The sequence below is a fragment of the Homo sapiens genome, chromosome 10 (assembly GCF_000001405.40).
Source record: "Homo sapiens chromosome 10, GRCh38.p14 Primary Assembly".
In the NCBI taxonomy this organism is placed as follows: domain Eukaryota; kingdom Metazoa; phylum Chordata; class Mammalia; order Primates; family Hominidae; genus Homo; species Homo sapiens.
The window spans coordinates 34,037,964-34,058,004 of NC_000010.11; the positions used below are offsets into that span (position 1 = coordinate 34,037,964).

Consider the following 20,041-nt stretch of genomic DNA (forward strand, 5'->3'; position numbering starts at 1 on the left):
GAATAGATTCCATGACAATGACAGGGTGTGATTTTTAAAGAATAATTTATACCAAAAAGATTCCTAATAATCTTTTGCAGGCATTTCTCCTGCTTCTCCAATTTCTGTGTTTTTTTTTCTTTTTCTTTTTTTCTTTTTTTTTTTTTTTTTTTTTTAAGACAGAGTCTCTCTCTGTCGCCAGGCTGGAGTTCAGTGGCACGATCTCAGCTCACTGCAACTTCTGCCTCTCGGGTTCAAGCGATTCTCCTGCCTCAGCCTCCCGAGTGGCTGTGACTACAGGCGAGCACCACCACACCCAGCTAATTTTTGCATTTTTAGTAGAGACAGGGTTTCACCATGTTGGCCAGGCTGGTCCCCAACTCCTGACCTCAAGTGGTCTGCCCACCTTGGCCTCCCAAAGTGCTGGGATTATAGGCATGAGCCACCACGCCCAGCCCCAATTTTTCTACTTTCAAGGAAAGAAAAAAAGCTATTACAAATCTTTCCTTCTTATGCATTGAAAAACAAAAGTTAAAAAAAAAACTTTGGGTATTTGAAGCAATGTGAATGGAGCTGTATATTAAATATTATAGCTAGGTGCAATCATAATGGTGTGGTGATATATGTGAATGTCCTTGGTCTTTGGAACTACATGAGCCAAAGTATTTAGGCATGAAGTGTCATGACATCTTAAACTTGCTTTCAAACAGCTCAGAAAAAAGGCGTATATATGTGTATGTTTTTACATATATGCATATATAGAGACATATACATATAAATATATGTATACATGCATATCTATCTGTGTGTGTGAGAGACAGAAAGCAAACTTGGCTATGGCCAGGTATGGTGGCTCATGCCTGTAGACCCAATATTTTGGGAAGCTGAGTGAGGAGGATCGCTTGAGGCCAGGAGTTTGAGACTAGCCTGGGCAACATAGCAAGACCCTGTTTCTACCAAAAAAAAAAAAAAATAGCAGGATGTGGTGGAGTGCACCTCTAGTCCCAGCTACTCAGGAGGCTGATGTGGGAGAATCACTTTAAGCCCAGGAATGCCACTGCACTCCATCCCAAGCAACACAGCAAGACCCCATCTTACAAAAAAAAGTTAGCAGGGCATGGTGGTACACACCTATTAGTCCCAGCTACTTGGGAAGCTGAGATGGGAGGATTCCTTGAGCCCAGGAGTTCAAGGCTGCAGTGAGCTATGGTCACACCACTCCACTCCAGCCTGTGTGACAGAGTGAGACCCTATTAAAAAAAAAAAAAGTAGCTAAACGATGATTGGTAAAACTAGGGTATTTGCTCTGGTTTTTTTCTTTTCAACTTTTCTGTAGATTAAAATTTTTTTAATAAAAAGTTGGGGAAAAACAAATCTCTTTCTGTTTTCGTTGCTGCTTTCTCCCCTACCTCCCCTGTCCATTCCCACATCCCCCACCTTCCAGCTGGGGGTGACCACCACCTGCTTGACTATGTCAGACTCTTTGCCACCACTGGGGAACTCAAGGGTGATGTACTTCCCAGGTTTCCCTTGCAAGCCACAGAAGCAAGCAGATATCTCCCCAGCCCCATCTCCTCCCAGAATCTGACTAATTTTCTTTTTTCTTTTTTTTTTTTTTGAGACGGAGTCTTGCTCTGTCACCCAGGCTGGAGTGCAGTGGTACTATCTCAGCTCACTGCAACCTCCACTTCCTGGGTTCCAAGGATTCTCCTGCCTCAGCCTCCCAAATAGCTGGGAATACAGGCATGCACCACCATGCCCGGCTAATTTTTGTATTTTTAGTAGAGACAGGGTTTGGACATGTTGGCCAGGCTGGTCTGGTCTCAAATTCCTGACCTCGTGATCCACTCGCCTCAGCCTTCCAAAGTGCTGGGATTACAAGTGTGAGCCACCATGCCTGGCCTAATTTTCTTTCAAGAAATCCTAGCAACTATGAAATTCTCCACCTTGTAAAACATGGGGTATGCTACTCCATGAGTTTCCAACTCACCGTTGATTGAAAAACTCCAGAGTGTTTAGCAATCTCAAGGGCCTAGAGAAATGTAATTCTTCAGACAGCCCAGGGCACTCTTGGATCCAATTCCATTTTTAGGTGAATGCATAGAGGAAGCATCGGTATGGTATTGTTGGCCTCGAAGGGCTGTGAGAATGTGCAAGAACAAATATCTTTTATTTACCACTAAACCTGCTCATCATTGAAGTTCTTTCCCCTCCAACCACTGTTCTCTAGCAAAGTATTAGTTCTGGATTCGCTCACACCATCCTTAGCATGAGATTGTTATACAAAAACATGCTTGATCAGCCAGAGAGGAGAGCTTTGACGACGTTCTGGGAAGCCTCTTGGCGTTGGCATCTGCCAAGAGGGGTCCCCAACCTCCTTGCAATTGCAGCTCTTCAGAGAACTCACGCGCAATAGGCCCTGAGCCCTCAAAGTCAAGTAGGAAGGTGAGATGCAGCATCCAGCAGCCATTCTGGGGTATTAAGTAAAGCAGGCAGCTGGAATTTCGTAGAGTTTATTGACGCTAAGCAAAGCCTCATTAGCAATTCCATGGTAAATGTCACTGGAGTTAAACGTCCTCTGGTTATGTGTGAGATATCAAAAAGCAACACCTCAACACAGAGCCATGTTGAAGGAGGTGGGTAAGGAGAGGACGAGGAGGGTGGCAATCCCCCACCAAAGAGAGGAAGCAATAATTAAGATGGAACACAGAACTTAGAACAGTCACTGGATCTGAATAAAACAGACACTCTTCTCTTAGCCGTACTTTGCAGAGAGCATTTCCTATTCCTTAGTTGAAGTGAGAAATCAGAAACTAACCATGGCAAGCCAAATAACTGCCACCCAAAGGTGCGCAAGTCCTACTCTGCAGAAGCTGTGACTATTACCTGGCAAAAGGGACTTTGAAGATGTGATCAAATGAAGGCTCTTGAAATGGGGAGATGATCCTACACTGTCGGGTGGACTCTGGAATCACAAGGGTCATTTTAAGAGGGAGGTAAGAAGGTCAAAAGAGAAAGAAAACCATGTGGTGATGGAATTAGATAAGAGTGATGCAGCCACACAGCAGGGAAGGCCGGGAGTCTTTAAAACCTGGAAATAGGCTGGGCGCGGTGGCTCACACCTGTAATCCCAGCACTTTGGGAAGCCAAAGAGGGCGGATCACCTGAAGGCAGGAGTTCAAGACCAGCCTGGCCAACATGGTGAAACCCCATCTCTACTAAAAATACAAAAATTAGCCCAGTGTGTGGCAGGTGCCTGTAATCCCAGCTACTCAGGAGGCTGAGGCAGAGAATCGCTTGAACCTGGGAGGCAGAGGTTGCAGTGAGCCAAGATCGTACCACTGCACTCCAGCCTGGACAAGAGCAAAGCTCCATCTCAAAAAAAAAAAAATAGAAAGAAAGAAAGCAGGCTCTCTCCTGGAATCTTCAGAAGGCATCAGCCCTGCAAACACCTTGATTTTAGAAGTCTGACCTCCAGATCTGTAAGAGAATGCATTTGTGTTGTTTTGAGCCACTAAATTTGTGGTCATTTGTCCTAGCAGCAACAGGAAACTAAGCCACCAACCATGTCCATGTCTATTGCATATGGTTTATTGCATAATGGCTATGCTAAAGTTAGCTGGCTGGGTGTTTGGATTCATGCCTGTAATCCCAGCGCTTTGAGGGGCTGAAGCAGGAGGATTGCTTGAGCCCAGGAGTTTGAGATCAGCCTGGGCAACATAGTGAGACCCTGTTTCTACAAAAAAATTTTAAAAATTAAGCTGGAGTAGTGGCACACACTTGTAGTCCCAGCTATTTGGGAAGCTGAGGTGGAAGGATTGCCTGAGCCCAGGTGGTTGAGGCTGCAGTGATCCATGATTGTGCTGCTACACTCCTGTTGGGGCAACAGAGTGAGACCTCATCTCAAAAAAAAAAAAAGCAACTGATAGCAAACTGCAGCTCTCATTTCTCAGTGTAAGTTCAGTATTTCTCATTAAGCCCATATTTTATGTCTTCATAAAATTTTGCATTAATGAATTCTTTCAAGAAGTGATGTAAGCTATAGAAGGGTTATCTGGAGGTTGTCAATCCTGCCCACCATAGCAATCCAGGCAGGCTCTGATGGTGAGAAGACGGAAGGACTCCGTCAGTGCTCTCTAATGCGGGCATCGCCATCTTGACTGCAGAGCCCAGCCTTGGGATCCAAGAACTGGGGGGAAACCTGGAGGCAGCTTAGTGGGGTGCCAAGGAGGCCAGTGGGAGGCAGTCTGATGTAGCAGAAACACAACACTCATGCATTTGCATCTCAGCTCTGCAATTACCAAGTATAAATTCTGAGCTTCTGTTTAATCTAAAAATCAGAAATAGGCCAGGGGTGGTGGCTCACACCTATAATCCCAGCACTTTGGAAGGCCAAGGTGGGCAGATCATTTAAGGCCAGGAGTTCGAGAGCAGCCTGGCCAACATGGCAATACCCTGTCTCTACTAAAAATAGAAAAATTAGCTGGGTATGGTGGCGGGCACCTGTAATCCCAGCTACTCGGGAGGCTGAGGCAGGAGAATCGCTTGAAGCCCGGAGACAGAGGTTGCAGTGAGCCAAGATAGCACCACTGCACTCCAGCCTGGGTGACAGAGCGAGACTCAGTGTCAAAAAAATAAAATAATAAAACAATAAAATAAGAATCAGAAATAATAATACTTACTGGCCAGGCGCAGTGCCTCACACCTGTAATCCCAACACTTTGGGAGGCCAAGGTGGGCAGATTGCTTGAGTTCAGGAGTTCAAGACCAGCCTGGGCAACGTGGCAAAATCCTGTCTCTACAAAAAATACAAAAATTAAGCTGACATGGTGGTGTGTGCCTGTGGTCCTAGCTACTTGGGAGGCTGAGGTAGGAGGATCACCTGAGCCTGGGGAGGTTGAGGCTGCAGTGAGCCATGTTCACACCACTGCCCTCCAGCCTGGGTTGTATAGTGAGACCCTATGTCAAAATAATAATAATAATAATAATACTGACTAGCTTTCTTGAGTGGATGAAATTAGATTATGGAAGCAAAGTTCCTAACATGGTAACTATTACAGTTATTGTTTGTTAATAATAGTAAATGACTTTCCCAAGTCCATACAGAGTGTTTTTGTCCGGAAGAGGATGTTGTCTCTGGTGTCACTTCGCAACACAGTGCATTCTAGGACACCAAACATGACACCATTTCAGGGTTTGCCAGGCTGCCTTCGACTACCCCAGAGCTCCTGTCCCCCTGGCTTTCTGTCAATTCCATCCTTTTTCTGGCCGCCCATGACTGCTGCCTGGACTGCCCTTAGTCCATTGAGTCAAACATTTGCATGATGCCAGCTGCATGATGTGTGCAGAGAGATTTGTGCTGAGAGATTTGAGGGAGTGGGGAGGGACTTGGATGAACAAGACAAAGCCCCTCCCTCAAGGAAATGATATTTTAGTAGGTCTAGACAAGAACAGAACGGACATTTGTGATGTAGAATGAGTGAAGGGCCATTGGGGGCAGAGTGAGGTGTCATGACCGTGTACCGGCAGATGAAAGGCTCCCCAAGGAGAGAGCTGAATGAAGTAGAGACCCCTGAGACCCCCAGGACCATGACAGATGGTGGAGGGACAAGGAGTATGTTATAAAAGCAAGGAGCAGGGACATCTGGGGCCTGCCTGGACCAAGGGCATGCTGTCTGCATGGGTGGAATTTAGGGACATTGCGGACACACTTCCATCCACTCCACTCGGAGTGTGAACACCCGTCTCAGTCAGGACAGTTCTGCTCCATTCTTTACAGTCGAGGCAGAGTGCTGAGAAGGGCGGGTTTTACCTGATGCTCAGACGCTTCTCTCTTCCTCGGTGTAGCCAACAAGTAAATACAGAGCTGATTCTCTTTTTTCTTCATTTTAAAATTGTTTTTAGAAATGGAGTCTTTCACTGTTGCGCAGGCTGGAGTGCAGTGGCACCATCACAGCTCACTGCAGCCTTGAACTCCTGGGCACAAGTGATTCTCCTGCCTTCACCTTCCAAGTAGCCAGGACTACAGGCATACACCACCACGCTCAGCTAATTTTGTTTTTTATTTTTTGTAGAGATGAGATGTCACTATGTTGCCCGGGCTGGTTTCAAACTCCTGGCCTCAAGGGATCCTCCTGCCTCAGCCTCCCAAACTGCTGAGATAACAGGTGTGAGTTACTGCACCCTGCCCAGAGTTGACTTTCACTCTTAGGAAAAGAATAGCTTGAGCTGCTTCTCTTAGTTAAATGAATGTGGAGCCATCAGGTTCCCATTGGTGTGAGGAAAATGCAGAAGAGACACGTTTGTGGCTAGAGGAAAATCCCAAGAGGCCCTTTGGCATAGACAGTTCTGCAGAGAGGGTGTGCCAGTGTCCAGGGGGAGTCTAGGCCCTTGGTGTCCAGTTCAGAAACTCTGATAAACTGGCTGGCACAAGCCAGGGGAGGGACCCTGACTGTGGTCTGTGGCTGGAAAAGACCCAGAGGATCCCAACAGGATGTTTACAAGAGGGAAAAGGAAGCCAAGCACAGTGGCTCACACCTGTAATCCCAGCACTCTGGAAGGCCGAGGCAGAAGGATTACCTGAGGTCAGGAGTTTGAGACCAGCCTGGCCAACATGGCGAAACCCTGTCTCCACTAAAATACAAAAAGTTAACCAGATATGGTGGCGGCACCTGTAATCCCAGCTACTCAAGTGGCTGAGGTGTGAGAATTGCTTGAACCAGGGAGGCGGAGGTTACAGTAAGCCAAGATCACAGGGTGACAGAGTGAGACTCCATCTCAAAAACAAAACAAAACAGAAAAAGAGGGAAAGGGGAAGGTCTGTGCTGGGAACTGGGGCTCAGCAGGGGCCAGGCCAGCACGAAGCAGCATTTTGGAACAAATGCCTGGGAATGTGGGCATGAATGAAAGGGGTGGCATTCCTAAAGCCCAGTGAACTTGGGATATACAACCGAGACACACTCGGGATCCAGGCCAAGCTGTCAAGCAGAGGAGAGCCGTCCATCAGGCATCACTGCAGGATCACTTTTCCCAGCGACAACTACCTCATTCTGAGCACAGAAGCATCCGTGCTAAACAACCGATCAGGCTCTCAGTTCTTTCTCTGACTGCTGTTTGGAAGCAGAGCCAAACTTTTTAAAAATTCTTCATTTTATTTTAAGTTCCAGGATACATGTGCAGGACATGCAGGTTTGTTATATAGGTAAACGTGTGCCATGGTGGTTTGCTGCACCCATCCACACATCACCTAGGTATTAAGCCCCACGTGCATCATTAGCTATTTATCCTGATGCTCTCCCTCCTCACCCCGCCAACAGGCCCCAGTGTGTGTTGTTCCCCCTGTGTCCATGTGTTCTCATTGTTCAGCCCCCACTTATAAGTTAGAACATGCAGTGTTTGGTTTTCTGTTGCTGTGTTAGTTTGCTGAGGATAATGGCTTCCAGCTTCATCCATGTCCTTGCAAAGGACATGATCTCATTCCTTTTTATAGCTGCATATTATTCCGTGGTATATATGTACCACATTTTCTTTATCCAGTCTATCATTGATGGGCATTTGGGTTGATTCATGTCTTTGCTATTGTGAACAGTGCTGCAATGAACATACATGTGCATTTATCTTCATAATGGAATGATTTATATTCCTTTGGGTATACACCTAATAATGAGATTGCTGGGTAAAATGGTATTTCTGGTTTTAGATTTTGAGGAATCACCACACTGTATTCCACAGTGGTTGAACTAATTTACACTCCCACCAACAGTGTAAAAAGCGTTCCAATTGCTCCACAGCCTTGCCAGCATCTGTTGTTTCTTGACTTTTTCATAATCTCCATTCTGACTCATGTGAGATGGTATCTCATTGTGGTTTTGATTTGCATTTCTCTAACGATCAGTGATATTGAGGCTTTTTCATATGTTTGTTGAGCCAGACTCTTAAGACTCCCTGAACCCCCAACATTCCCTGATGTTGAAGGTGATGGAAGTGTCTCAAGGAGAAAAGCTTAGGCTAAAACTAGTGATGGGTTACGCAACTATGCAGAGAAATAGAAGTGTTTATCACACAAGTACCAGCTGACCAGAAAGATCCTGCCATTCCCATAGGTACTGGTCGTGTGAGTGGAAGTTGCAGCCAGGCCGACATTTACATGTACACCTGCACCAGTGTCATCACTGTGACATGGTGACTTCCTAAGGGACTCTGGGTGTCGAGCATGCATGTTCAGCATGGAGGGTGACAGCCACCCCAGCTCCGAAATGCTTTCAGAGGAGAATATTGGCAAACAAGCACTTGTTAAACATCTTCAGAATCTTTCCTATAACAGGATCTAAGTGGATTCTATTAAATGCCTGAGTAACATCCTCATCCATTTGTCTCATTTGTATTCAGTCCTAGATAGAGTTCCCCTTCTTCCATGGCTTGTCACATATTATTTTTTAATCAGATAATTTAACATCCAAAACTTCACTGGTATGGAAGAAAGCAGAGAAATGTAAAGGAGATCAGACTGATACCAGCTGGTCTTCTGAAGTTCAAGCCCGGGCGCTGAACTGAGCATCTGGCTACATTCTTTGGTGTCTCAAATTCACTGAGGTCAATAACCAACCTTTCTCACAAGCACTCCTCATTTCCAATCTGTCTCCCCAACTGCACAACTTTGTGTAATCAAAGAGGGAAAGATGGCTCCTCAGATGGACCCTCAGAGAAAGATAAGATCAGGCCCACAGGGAGGCCAGCCCTGTGTTCCTTCCACCTTGATGGTCACTGTCAGAGGATGTACAGGGAGTGTGGTGACAATGGCTCAAGGCTACTGACCTAAGAGGCCGTGTCTTCCATTTTGCGAGGGAGACACTGGCAGACAGCTGCTCCCGGCGTGTTTGTGTGTATGTAAATATCCACACACTCACTCTGAACTCCGAGAGCTGTCTGGCCATCTGCCACAAATGCAGCTTGCGTCCCGAAGATGCAGCCGTGTGTCACAGATGGAGATGGGGCAAGCACCGTGCACCTCCACCAGAGTCTTAGACCTGGGCACACAGACAATCCCAGAACTGAATTTCAGAGCCTTTGAGGTTTTCCCTTCACACTATTACAATAAATCAAAACCACAATTCGAATTAAATCTTGTCTTATGCTTCCATTGTTCTAAATGGGGCAGGAAGACCCCAAAGCATTATTAACAAGACAAGGTTGAAAATACCCAGACAATTGGGTGTCCAGATACCCTTTCTCTCTCTTATCCAAAGCTGTTCTCCAAACACAACCAATAACTCTCCCTCTCAGATCCAAATCAACAGCCCATTGAAAAAGTTCCTACTTCAGATCTCGGAGACAAAAGTGAATAGCCAAGCAGAGTCTCAAATAAATCCTATTATCCCTTCTCCCACCCTCCCTCTCTTCTTTCGACCTCAAAGCTTTGCCGTCTTAGCTTTTCCATCTTTCATTGGATTCTCAGCACTGCTGCCTTGTTTCCATAGAATCACAGAAGTCAAAGCTAAAAAAGATTTTGCGTATTTCCCTTCACACAAACCCCCAAGGGCAAAATGTTACCAAACTCCTACTCTTAGATCCACAACAGACTTTTCTGCTGGGAGCCAGGCGTAAACATGGAGTCACGCGTGATTATTGAGTTCTGTCATCCACACCAGAAAACAGCAGTGGCAGGAGAAGGCGGCTGCGGGAACATTTTCTCCTTCCAAAAGAGCTTTCATCACTCTACTTAGCTTTCATTTCTGGCTCAAGCTTAGAAGCCTCCAGTTTAGTGTCTTTCTAGGCAGTCTTGTGGTCCACTCTATCACCAATAATGCAGCACCTACACCAAGCCAAGGAACACTCAGAGAGACGGCTGGGGCAGAAGACACAGAGACAGGAAATCTCCATGCAATTCGGTCTTGTCTGTGCTGCCATGGGACCTTGGGCCCAAGTTGTAGTGCCCAAGCCCATGGCAAGCAAGCAGGAAGGCAGTTGTTCAGGAGATGACGATCATTCAGAGCATCTGCCTTGGAACATCATTTAGTTTTGTTCAGCACCATTCCCAAGCCCGCTACGTACACGAAGAGATGTAAAGCCGCATAATGTTCCCTGAACTGCTTTTGTTGAATGCCTGAGTTATCACCCCCCTTTCAGGGGGTGGCTTCTACCCATCTGAACACCTGGGAGGTCTGCTTGGCCCCAAAGTCCAAGTTTCTTGGTGTTAGTTTCAAATGCCTTACAAGCCGTACCCCCAACTATCACCAAGAATAAGCCCACAGAAACCTCACTGAGAAAAGACTCCCTTTTCTCAGTGGAAAGTAGCTTATCTTTGTCTATTTCAAAGTTGGTGCTAATTGTAATTGTTGACTGTTTTTGTCCTCTGATTAGGGGAAGACAAAATCCAGTTACCAGCCATCCCTTCCTTCTCCCAGACCAAAGTGTGCCTACCTCCTGTGCCATTTTGTGGGGGGGTCTGCTTGGCTAGTTAAGGTGACCAATTAACCCATAAAGCAGTATTAATAAAGTATGAAGATTTTTTATGTGCCCCAGGGTGCATTTTAACACCTTCGGTATCTTGATACTAAAAGTGCTGCCTAAAGATAGAAACGTAGGGCATTGAAAGCTAACTAGTGAGAGAAATATTGAAGAACCCAGTATAATGATGGTAGATGACCATCAGCTACTTGGCGGGGTCCTGTGTTTAGTCTTAAACAATAGAATTGGCAATATCAAGTTGATTTTCCACAAGTCTTCACATGACATCCGCTTCACGTCACAAATAGGAATGGTGGGGCTCTAGGTGGTACACCAGATAGACAGACAATAGGGACATGATAATGGCCCCAGACCTTTCAGCCTATCAGTCAGGCAATGGTGGGCATGTCACATGGCCAAGGACAAGTCTTTTCTGTTGGACCAGCTCACCGGGGCAGCTTGGTCCATTGCCCCTGTCAATCAACAGAGTGCGGGTTCACACACAAAGAACAGGTACTTCATCATGAGCTGTCCAATTTCAAAACAATAGTCATTTTCTCTCCACACCAGTCTGAAAACCAGCCCCATTAAGGATCATGATCAGACCATATTGATCACTTCTCTAAGCATCTCTTCAAGGGACATCTCTAGACATACTTGACTGAGCTGGATTTAATTTAAGCACTTTGCTGTCTACAAATTCTATCAGTTTAGCCTTGTGAAAAATTAGGACATTACGGCTCCAGCTTCCCTAAGGAACTCTGAGCACTGATGTTCTCAATGCCCTGCACCTCCCCTGCTTGGGAACGACCACCCCTCCTTGCCAGGAGAACCCTGAGTTGCTGGCACCTTCTCATCCATGAAGCACACTGTCTTGCTACCCAGATTTCTCTCCTGAAAAGCAATGGCCTACAGAGTGAAAACTAAGGCCATATGCCCAACACTCTTAACACATTCCGTCCAACTCTGAGAAGCAAATTTGCCGTTTACAAGGGGAGAAGAATGAAGCCACTTGAAAGAGCCACATCCCCTTCTCATCTAGTTTTTAAAAAATCATCTTTGCACAAAGAAATGACAAGTGCTTGAGGTGATAGATACCCCAATTACTCTGATGCATTATGCACTCTATGCCTGTCTCAAAACATCACATGTACTCCATAGATATATCCATCTACTATGTACCCATAAAAACTAAAAATTTTTAAAAAATCATCTTTGTTGCCTCCAGAGAGGGTCATTCTGGCCACGCCTGCTGGTCTGATTCTGTGAGTCATTGACAGTGGGGCAGAGTGGGAACTAGGGATATGCAGAGGAGATAGATTTTCAGCCCCTTTACTTTCTTGAAACTATTTCCTCTCGTCGTGTGAATGGAATTTTTAAAATGATATCTAAAGCACAGTAGGAAAATAATGTAAATCAAGTGCTAGGAAATTCTTCCCTCCAGGCACCATTCAAAAACCAAACTCATTTGAGAGAAGTTCCAGGGGTTCGGAACAGTTGAGAGGGGGCTTGCTTTAGCCTTGCTGGATGACATCAAGGCAAAAGATGAGAGTGTGTGAGGGATCAGCGCGGAGGTCCTGAGCTCAGAGCAGGAGTTGTGAGTCAGCCTTGGAGACGCCCACTGCAAACAAGCATTCAGGCTTGTCGAGATGATTTCTGGAGGTTAAGTGTAGGTGGATCTCGTGTTTCAGATGCTTTCAGCGTATTTTGTCATCTCATTTGTTCCATTAAGGTTTGTTTAAAAGAAAAAAATCCAGGAAACTAACGTCAACAACTAAGAGAATTTTGTAAATATCATTCCTCCCACTTCAAGCGACATTGCCTACATCAATGCTAACCCATACGTTAGTAATGCTTTTGAAAGGAATTATGTGAAGACAACAGTCTAAAGTTCCTATTATTGCAGAAAGCTTTTACCAAATATCTGCTTTTATTTTACACTTCTGAATACAAGGAACCAGGACCATGCTTTTAAGTATAAGCCTTATTCTGAAATGGATGAGTAATGTTGCCAAGAAACCAAGAAGCCGGTGGGCAGCAAAGCAGAAACGTGATGTGGAATAATGACTTCGGTGCAGTTCCTCACACTTATATAACATATGTCTCTGCATCTATGGGGGGCAAGCGTGTATGCTTAAATAGCCCACCCAAAAGGGGTAGAAACAATAAGAGCAGAGCGTTCCTCTAAGGAGGGTATGGTTGTAGTGAGACATCAAGAAACAGTCAGAGGCTGGGCATGGTGGCTCACGCCTATAATTCCAGCACTTTGGTAGGCCAAGGCAGGTAGATTATGAGGTCAGGAGTTCAAGACCAGCCTGGCCAACATGGTGAAACCCTGTCTCTACTAAAAATACAAAAAAAAAAAAAAAAAAAATAGCTGGACGTGGTGGCAGGCGCCTGTAATCCCAACTACTCGTGTGGCTGAAGCAGGAGAATTGCTTGAACCCAGGAGGCAGAGGTTGCAGTGAGCCGAGATCTCCCCATTGCACTCCAGCCTGGGTGATAAGAGCAAAACTCCATCTCAAAAAAAAAAAAAGAAAGAAAGAAAGAAAGAAACAGCCAGATATAATGAAGAGGCTGAGTGAGATGGTAGTCTTTTAGGTAACACTTGGAATGAAAAGGAGCTATGGTTTTTGTGTGTTTCTCACTTAAAACCAGAGTGTTATTATCCTTTACCATTGCATCAGCAGGAAGCATTGAAGGTTGTGAAAGTTCTTTTGGTTGGTTGGTTTGTTGGTTGTTGGTTGATTAGTTGGCTGGTTGGTTGGTTGATTGGTTGGTTGGTTTGTTGGTTGGTTGATTGCTTGGTTGGTTTGTTGGTTGGTTGATTGCTTGGTTGGTTGGTTGGTTGTTGGATTTGGGATACAGAAGCAAAGAAAAGGGAGGAGAAAAAGAGCACTCAAAATGCAGTTGGTGAACAGTGTGCAGCTAGGAAGGAAACCTCTGCTCCTGGTGCTCCACTCAGAGAAAATAGAGGGTGCTATTTCACTAGAACCACAGCAAAAGCATCACAGTGTAGTACGGAAGCTTCTGTCTCATCCTAAGGATGGGGTTGAAGCCAGCTCAAGTTTGGGACTGATTCAAACTAACTGAGATAATCTTTCCAACTAAGAAAAGACTTGTAATCCAAATTATAAAATGTGGTGTGGCCCTTCCTCTTCCTTCCCTTCCCTGAACTATGTAGTCTTAGAGCTATCAGGTGGGGTAGAGCAAGAGTTGGAGTGAGGGAGCTGCAGCGGTCCAGAGTGATGAAGAGGCCAAAAAGGATGAGGAGGACATCTTCTCAGATGGGTCACCTACAAAGGGCATCAAACCCCAAGCACAGAAGGAGGGTGTCCTCCCTTGGGGGGCAGCAGTAGGGGAATCAGTAGGGGATCACTGTGTTCAGAAGTGTAAAATCAAAGTACATGTTTGGTAAAAGCTTTCTGCAATAATAGGAACTGTTAACTGTTGTCTTCACATAGTTCCTTTCAAAAGCATTACCAACGTATGGGTGAATGTTGATGTAGGGGTGAGCCTGCGTGGGGTGAGGGGATCTCTGTGTGGGGATGGCTTCAGTAAGCACTGGAAACATACTAAAGAATTGAGCAAATAAGCAAGCAAGCAAACCAAGAACAAGAACAATTGAGCAAATAAGGAAACAAGCAAACCAAAAACAAAGAACAAGCAAAACAAAGAACAAGCAAACCAAAAACAAGAACAATGGGATTCAGGTTTTTCGCTGTCAAAAGAAGGAAGTTATAAATATGTAAAGAGAGGAATTGGAACTGAAAGTATTGATATGATTCCTTGGGATTTTCAAAATAGATGGATAGATAAATAGACTTTGATATAGATGTAGACATGAGTATAAAGGTAAATGTATGTATATATATATGTGTGTTTGCATGTACATACACTGATCCCCTACAAACATATATACCCTGTCACTCTCTGTCCACTGACAGAGTAACAATAGTAATGGGCACACTCAGGACCCAGAAGTTGGCCTCTAAATACCCTCCTCCACTGAAAGGAAACAGGGCTCCTTGGGGAAATGGCAGCAGCCATTGTCATCACTGCATGCCAGGTAGGAAAAGTAAGAATGAGTTGAAACATCTAATTGTTCCAGAAAAGAAGGAAGTGTTCAAATAATAACTGGGGACAATGAGTCACAGAAGCCAAATCTAGGGCATTTAGAGAATCAAAATAATGTTAAAAATGGATCATAACTGATATGGTTTGTATCTGTGTCCCCACCCACATCTCATCTTTCTTCCATTGTAATCCCCAGTATTGGAGGTGGGGCCTGGTGGGGGGCGATTGGATTTTGGGGGCAGATTCTCATGAATGGTTTAGCACCATCCTCTTGGCGCTGTTCTCATGATAGTGAGTGTGTTCTCATGAGATCTGGTTGTTTAATAGTGTGTAGCACCTCCCCACCCTCTTGCTCCTTCTCCCGCCACGTAAGATGCTTACTCCTGCTCTGCCTTCTGCCATGATTGAAAGCTTCCTGAGGCTTCCCCAGAAGCAGAGGCCACTATGCTTCCTGTTCAGCCTGTGGAACCATGAGCCAATTCAACCTCTTTTCTTTGTAAATTTCTCAGTCTCAGGTATTTTTTTATACCTGTCTGCGAGAACAGACTGAATAGATTGATACAATAACTTAATAAGTAACAAAGAAAAACAGGAATCTATATTGATATAAATATGGATAGATTGAAAGTTTATGGAGCAACAGAATACTTACATAATTCCTAGTTCCTCTACTCAAAATGCTTATTAATTACAAAAGGTAAAGAATAAATGTGATGTGGAGGAGTCTGATAGATATCATAACCAAGTATTGAAGTCAACCTCACCATTAATGGGACAAATTGGCTGAAGTTGTGTACCTCCTGGTAGGATGCATTAAGAAGAACATAGTATCATCTCTGTGATATTTCTGCCAAAAATACATGATCAAAATCAAATCATGAAAATGCATCAGAGAAGAGTCATTCTACATTCATCTGGCCTGTAATCTTCAAAAATGTCAAGGTCCTAAAGTCAAACCAAGACTGAAAAACTGCTCCAGACTGCAAGACTACAGTGACATGACAACTGAACGCAATGCCTGACTCTAGAGTCTATCCTTTTGCTATCCACACCCTTGCTGGGACGACTGGTAAGGTTGGAATGAGGTCAGAGGATTCAATTGTAGAAATGGATCTTTTGTTTTCTTTTTTTTTAAATCAAGTTCTAGGGTACATGTGCACAACGTGCAGGTTTGTTACATATGTAAACATGTGCCATGTTGGTTTGCTGCACCCATTAACTCATCATTTACGTTAGGTATTTCTCCTAATGCTATCCCTCCCCCATCTCCCCACCCCACGACAGGCCCCGGTGTGTGATGTTCCCTGCCCTGTGTCCAAGTGTTCTCATTGTGCAATTCCCACCTATGAGTGAGAACATGCTGTGTTTGGTTTTCTGTCCTTGCGATAGTTTGCTCAGAATGATGGTTTCCAGCTTCTTTCATGTCGCTACGAAGGACATGGACTCATCCTTTTTTATGGCTGTGTAGTATTTCAAGGTGTATATGTGCCACATTTTCTTAATCCAGTCTATCATTGATGGACATTTGGGTTGGTCCCAAGTCTATGCTATTGTGAATAGTGCCGCAATAAACATACATGTGCATGTGTCTTTAGAGTAGCATGATTTATAATCCTTTGGGTATATAACCAGTAATGGGATCACTGAGTCAAATAGTAAGAAAGGTATCATTTTTAACATCATTACTTTGATGACTGCATTATGATTATATAGGAGAATGCCCTTGTTTGTAGAAAGTACATACTCAAGAATTCAGAAATCAGGTGGGCATGGTGGCTCACGTCTGTAATCCAAACACTTTGGGAGGCTAAGGAGGGAGGATTGTTGGAGCCCAGGAGTTTGAGACCACCCTGGGCAACACTGGGAGGCCCCAGCTCTACAAAAAATTTAAAAATTAGCCAGCCTTGGTGGTGGGTGCCTGTAGTCCCAGGTACTTCGGAGGCTGAGGCAGAAGGATCGCTTGAGCCCAGGAGGTCGAAGCTGCAGTGAGCTATGATTGCACCATTGCACTCCAGCCTGGGTGACAGAGCAAGAACCTGTCTCTAATAGTAATAATAATAATAATAATAATACAGAAATCATGGGGCATTTTGTCAACAACTTAATCTCAAATGGTTCCAGAAAAAAGAAAGTACTGTGTTTGCAACTTTTCTGTAATATTGAGATTGTTTCAAAATTTCTTTTAAAAGAACCTTGTAGGGAAAGTGAATTCTACAGGGATTTTGCATAAATTAACACAGCAGTGGGGCTTTCTGGATAGTGATTGTAACCCAACAAGCATAACAGAATTGTCTAGGGAATTTTTTTAAACACCCAGGAAGAATCATCCGAGTTTAACTGCTTTCCTAGCTGAGTGTGCTCTAGTAAGGAAGCTTTGACGTGGGGTCACGGTGCTGGCCCATGGCTATGTGTGCCTCTTGTTACAAGGCAAGGGAAGTTTCTAAAGGAAGCTGGGCGAATGTGAAGAAACATTTGCCATCTCTCCTCCTATTGATATGATACCAGATTAGCATATAAGGCTGATAACACCCTTTGGAACCTACATGGTTAATTCTAAAAGTTTCCGTCAGAGTAACAGCAGGTGCTCAGTCAGCAGCAGCCATTGTCACCACTGCATGCCAGAAGCCCTAACAGTGGTGTCCCAAATCCTCACAACGACACTGCAAGCTATGTATCAAGTGAGTTATAATGACCCACTGAGGGATGAGAACCTGCCCACCTGAGACTCAGAGAGGCTGAGGCTCTTGCTCAAGATCACACAGCCGCGGGGACAGGTTCATGCCTGTAATCCCAACACTTTGGGAGGCCAAAACAGGAGAGTCACTTGAGGCCAGAGTTCAAGACCAGCCTGGGCAATATAGTGAGACCCCATCTCTACAAAAAAAATTAGCCAAGTATGGTGGCACTGAGAGGTGACAGCGTGCTGGCAGTCCTCACGGCCCTCGCTCGCTCACAGCGCCTCCTCTGCCTGGGCTCCCACTTTGGCGGCACTGGAGGAGCCCTTCAGCCCGCTGCTGCACTGTGGAAACCCCTTTCTGGGCTGGCCAAGGCCGGAGCCGGCTCCCTAAGCTTGCGGGGAGGTGTGGAGGGAAAGGCGCGGGCGGGAACCGGGGCTGCACGTGGTGCTTGCGGGCCAGCGCGAGTTCCGGGTGGGTGGGGGATGGGCGGACCCCGCACTCGGAGCTGCGAGCAGGCCCCACCGGCCCCAGGCAGTGAAGGGCTTAGCACCTGGGCCAGCAGCTGCTGTGCTCAATTTCTCGCGGGGCCTTAGCTGCCTTCCTGTGGGGCAGGGCTCGGGACCTGCAGCCCGCCATGCCTGAGCCTCCCCCACCCCGCTCCGTGGGCTCCTGTGCGACCCAAGCCTCCCTGACGAGTGCCGCCCCCTGCTCCAGGGCACCCAGCCCCATCGACCACCCAAGGACTGAGGAGTGCGGGCGCACGGCGCGGGACTGGCAGGCAGCTCCACCTGCAGCCCCCGTGCGGGATCCACTGGGTGAAGCCAGCTGGGCTCCTGAGTCTGGTGGGGACGTGGAGAACCTTTATGTCTAGCTCAGGGATTGTAAATACACGAATCGGCACTCTATATCTAGCTCAAGGTTTGTAAACACACCAGTCAGCACCCTGTGTCTAGCTCAGGGTTTGTGAATGCACCAATCCACACTCTGTATCTAGCTGCTCTGGTGGCGACTTGGAGAACCTTTGTGTGGACACTGTATCTAACTAATCTGGTGGGGATGTGGAGAACCTTTGTGCCTAGCTCAGGGATTGTAAACGCACCAATCAGCACCCTGTCAAAACAGTCCACTCGGCTCCACCAATCAGCAGGATGTAGGTGGGGCCAGATAAGACAATAAAAGCAGGCTGCCGGAGCCAGCAGTGGCAACCCGCTCGGGTCCCCTTCCACGCTGTGGAAGCTTAGTTCTTTCTTTCTTTGCAATAAATCCTGCTGCTGCGCACTCTTTGGGTCCACACTGCCTTTATAAGCTGTAACACTCACCACGAAGGTCTGCAGCTTCACTCCTGAGCCCGCGAAACCATGAACCCACCAGAAGGAAGAAACTCTGAACACATCCCAACATCAGAAGGAACAAACTCCGGACGCGCCACCTTAAGAGCTGTAACACTCACCTCGAGGGTCCGCGGCTTCATTCTTGAAGTCGGTGAGACCAAGAACCCACCAATTCCGGACACAGCATGAGTGCAGAGGCTGAGGCAGGAGGATCGCTTGGGCCCAGGAGTTTGAGATTGCAGCGAGCTGTAATCGTGCCACTGCACTCCAGCCTTGGTGACAAGTATAAGATCCGATCTCGATCAAAATTAACAATAAAAAAGATAACAGCTAAGAATGTTGTTACTCCTTTTTCTTCCTGACCCTGGATAGCGGCTGGATAGCCCTCCCCCCAGGCACTCTTCACTCAGCTGAACAAGACCCCTCACCCCTTTGATGGTAAAGACCTAGAGGGAAAACATGGAGGGATTTTTGGTGTTTCAAGGATCAGGAAAAAAATCCCTTCTCTCAACACAGCACCTCTGAATAGGGCAAAGCTACTGCAGTGTCAAGACAGTGTCACTCTCCCAACCTGGGAAGGAGACTGGGGGTTAACCCTTCCTTTCCTTGCTAAGGGGATCACCCACTTTCTCTGCCAAGAATGTGACTGGAAAGAGAAGCTCAACAAAGAAGACTCCAGCACACTGGGAACCAGAGTCTTCCTGCTGTCCCGACCATGTGCAGTGGGAAGAGATGCACACCCCTGTCCCCACCCGCCTGTGCTAGATGTCCTCTACCTTCTCCTTAACTCCCATAACCAGCCTCATCATCACAGCAAATGTGATTAGGCAACTTTTGTTTGGTTGATTTTTAGAGAGAGGATCTCACTCCATCACTCAGGCTGGAGTGCAGTGGCACGGTCAGAGCTCACTACAGCCTTGAACGCCTGGGCTCAAGCAATTATCCCACCTCAGCCTCCCAAGTAGCTGGGACCACAGGCGTGCACCACCTGCCCTGGCTAATTTTTTTAATCTTTTTACAGAGATAGGGTCTTGCCTTGCTGCCCAGCCTGGTCTTGCACTTCTGGCCTCAAGCAATCCTCCCATCTTGGCCTCCCAAAGCGCTGAGATTACAGGTATGAGCCACTGCGCCCAGCCTATCCTAGCAATTCTAATGCCTGGACGTGCAAGGTCTTTATGTAGCCCCTGAGCAGTGCAGAATAGCTATGTTAAATTGTTTGCAATTTTGTGAGATGCACTATATTTACATGAACTCTTAGCAAATTTTCATATGAAAATATTTATAATTCCTACTGAAATGTATATGAACTGAACGCAACTGGATTTCAGCCCCTGTCTCTGTGTCTTAATTTGATAAACAAGCAATTACCCTTAACACAAGCAATAGCACTTTGATCAGCTTGAGTGTGGGAAAACTTCCTCAAGTGAGTAAGGGAAACTAATATATGGACATTGTAGGCAATGTAAAATGGGCAGAAATGCACAGATTAAGTGGCGGAAAATAGATTCAGTTTCAACAGTTACCTCCAAG

The 20,041-nt window shown here is 45.9% G+C and overlaps 1 annotated feature.

Annotated features, from left to right (window-relative positions):
• Window positions 5,080-5,581: an enhancer, noted in NCBI's record as "H3K27ac hESC enhancer chr10:34331971-34332472 (GRCh37/hg19 assembly coordinates)". NCBI's record gives its function as "activates a minimal SCP1, AML or CMV promoter by ChIP-STARR-seq in naive H9 embryonic stem cells {active_cell/tissue: H9 hESC(naive)}" and the evidence as "EXISTENCE:reporter gene assay evidence [ECO:0000049][PMID:30033119]".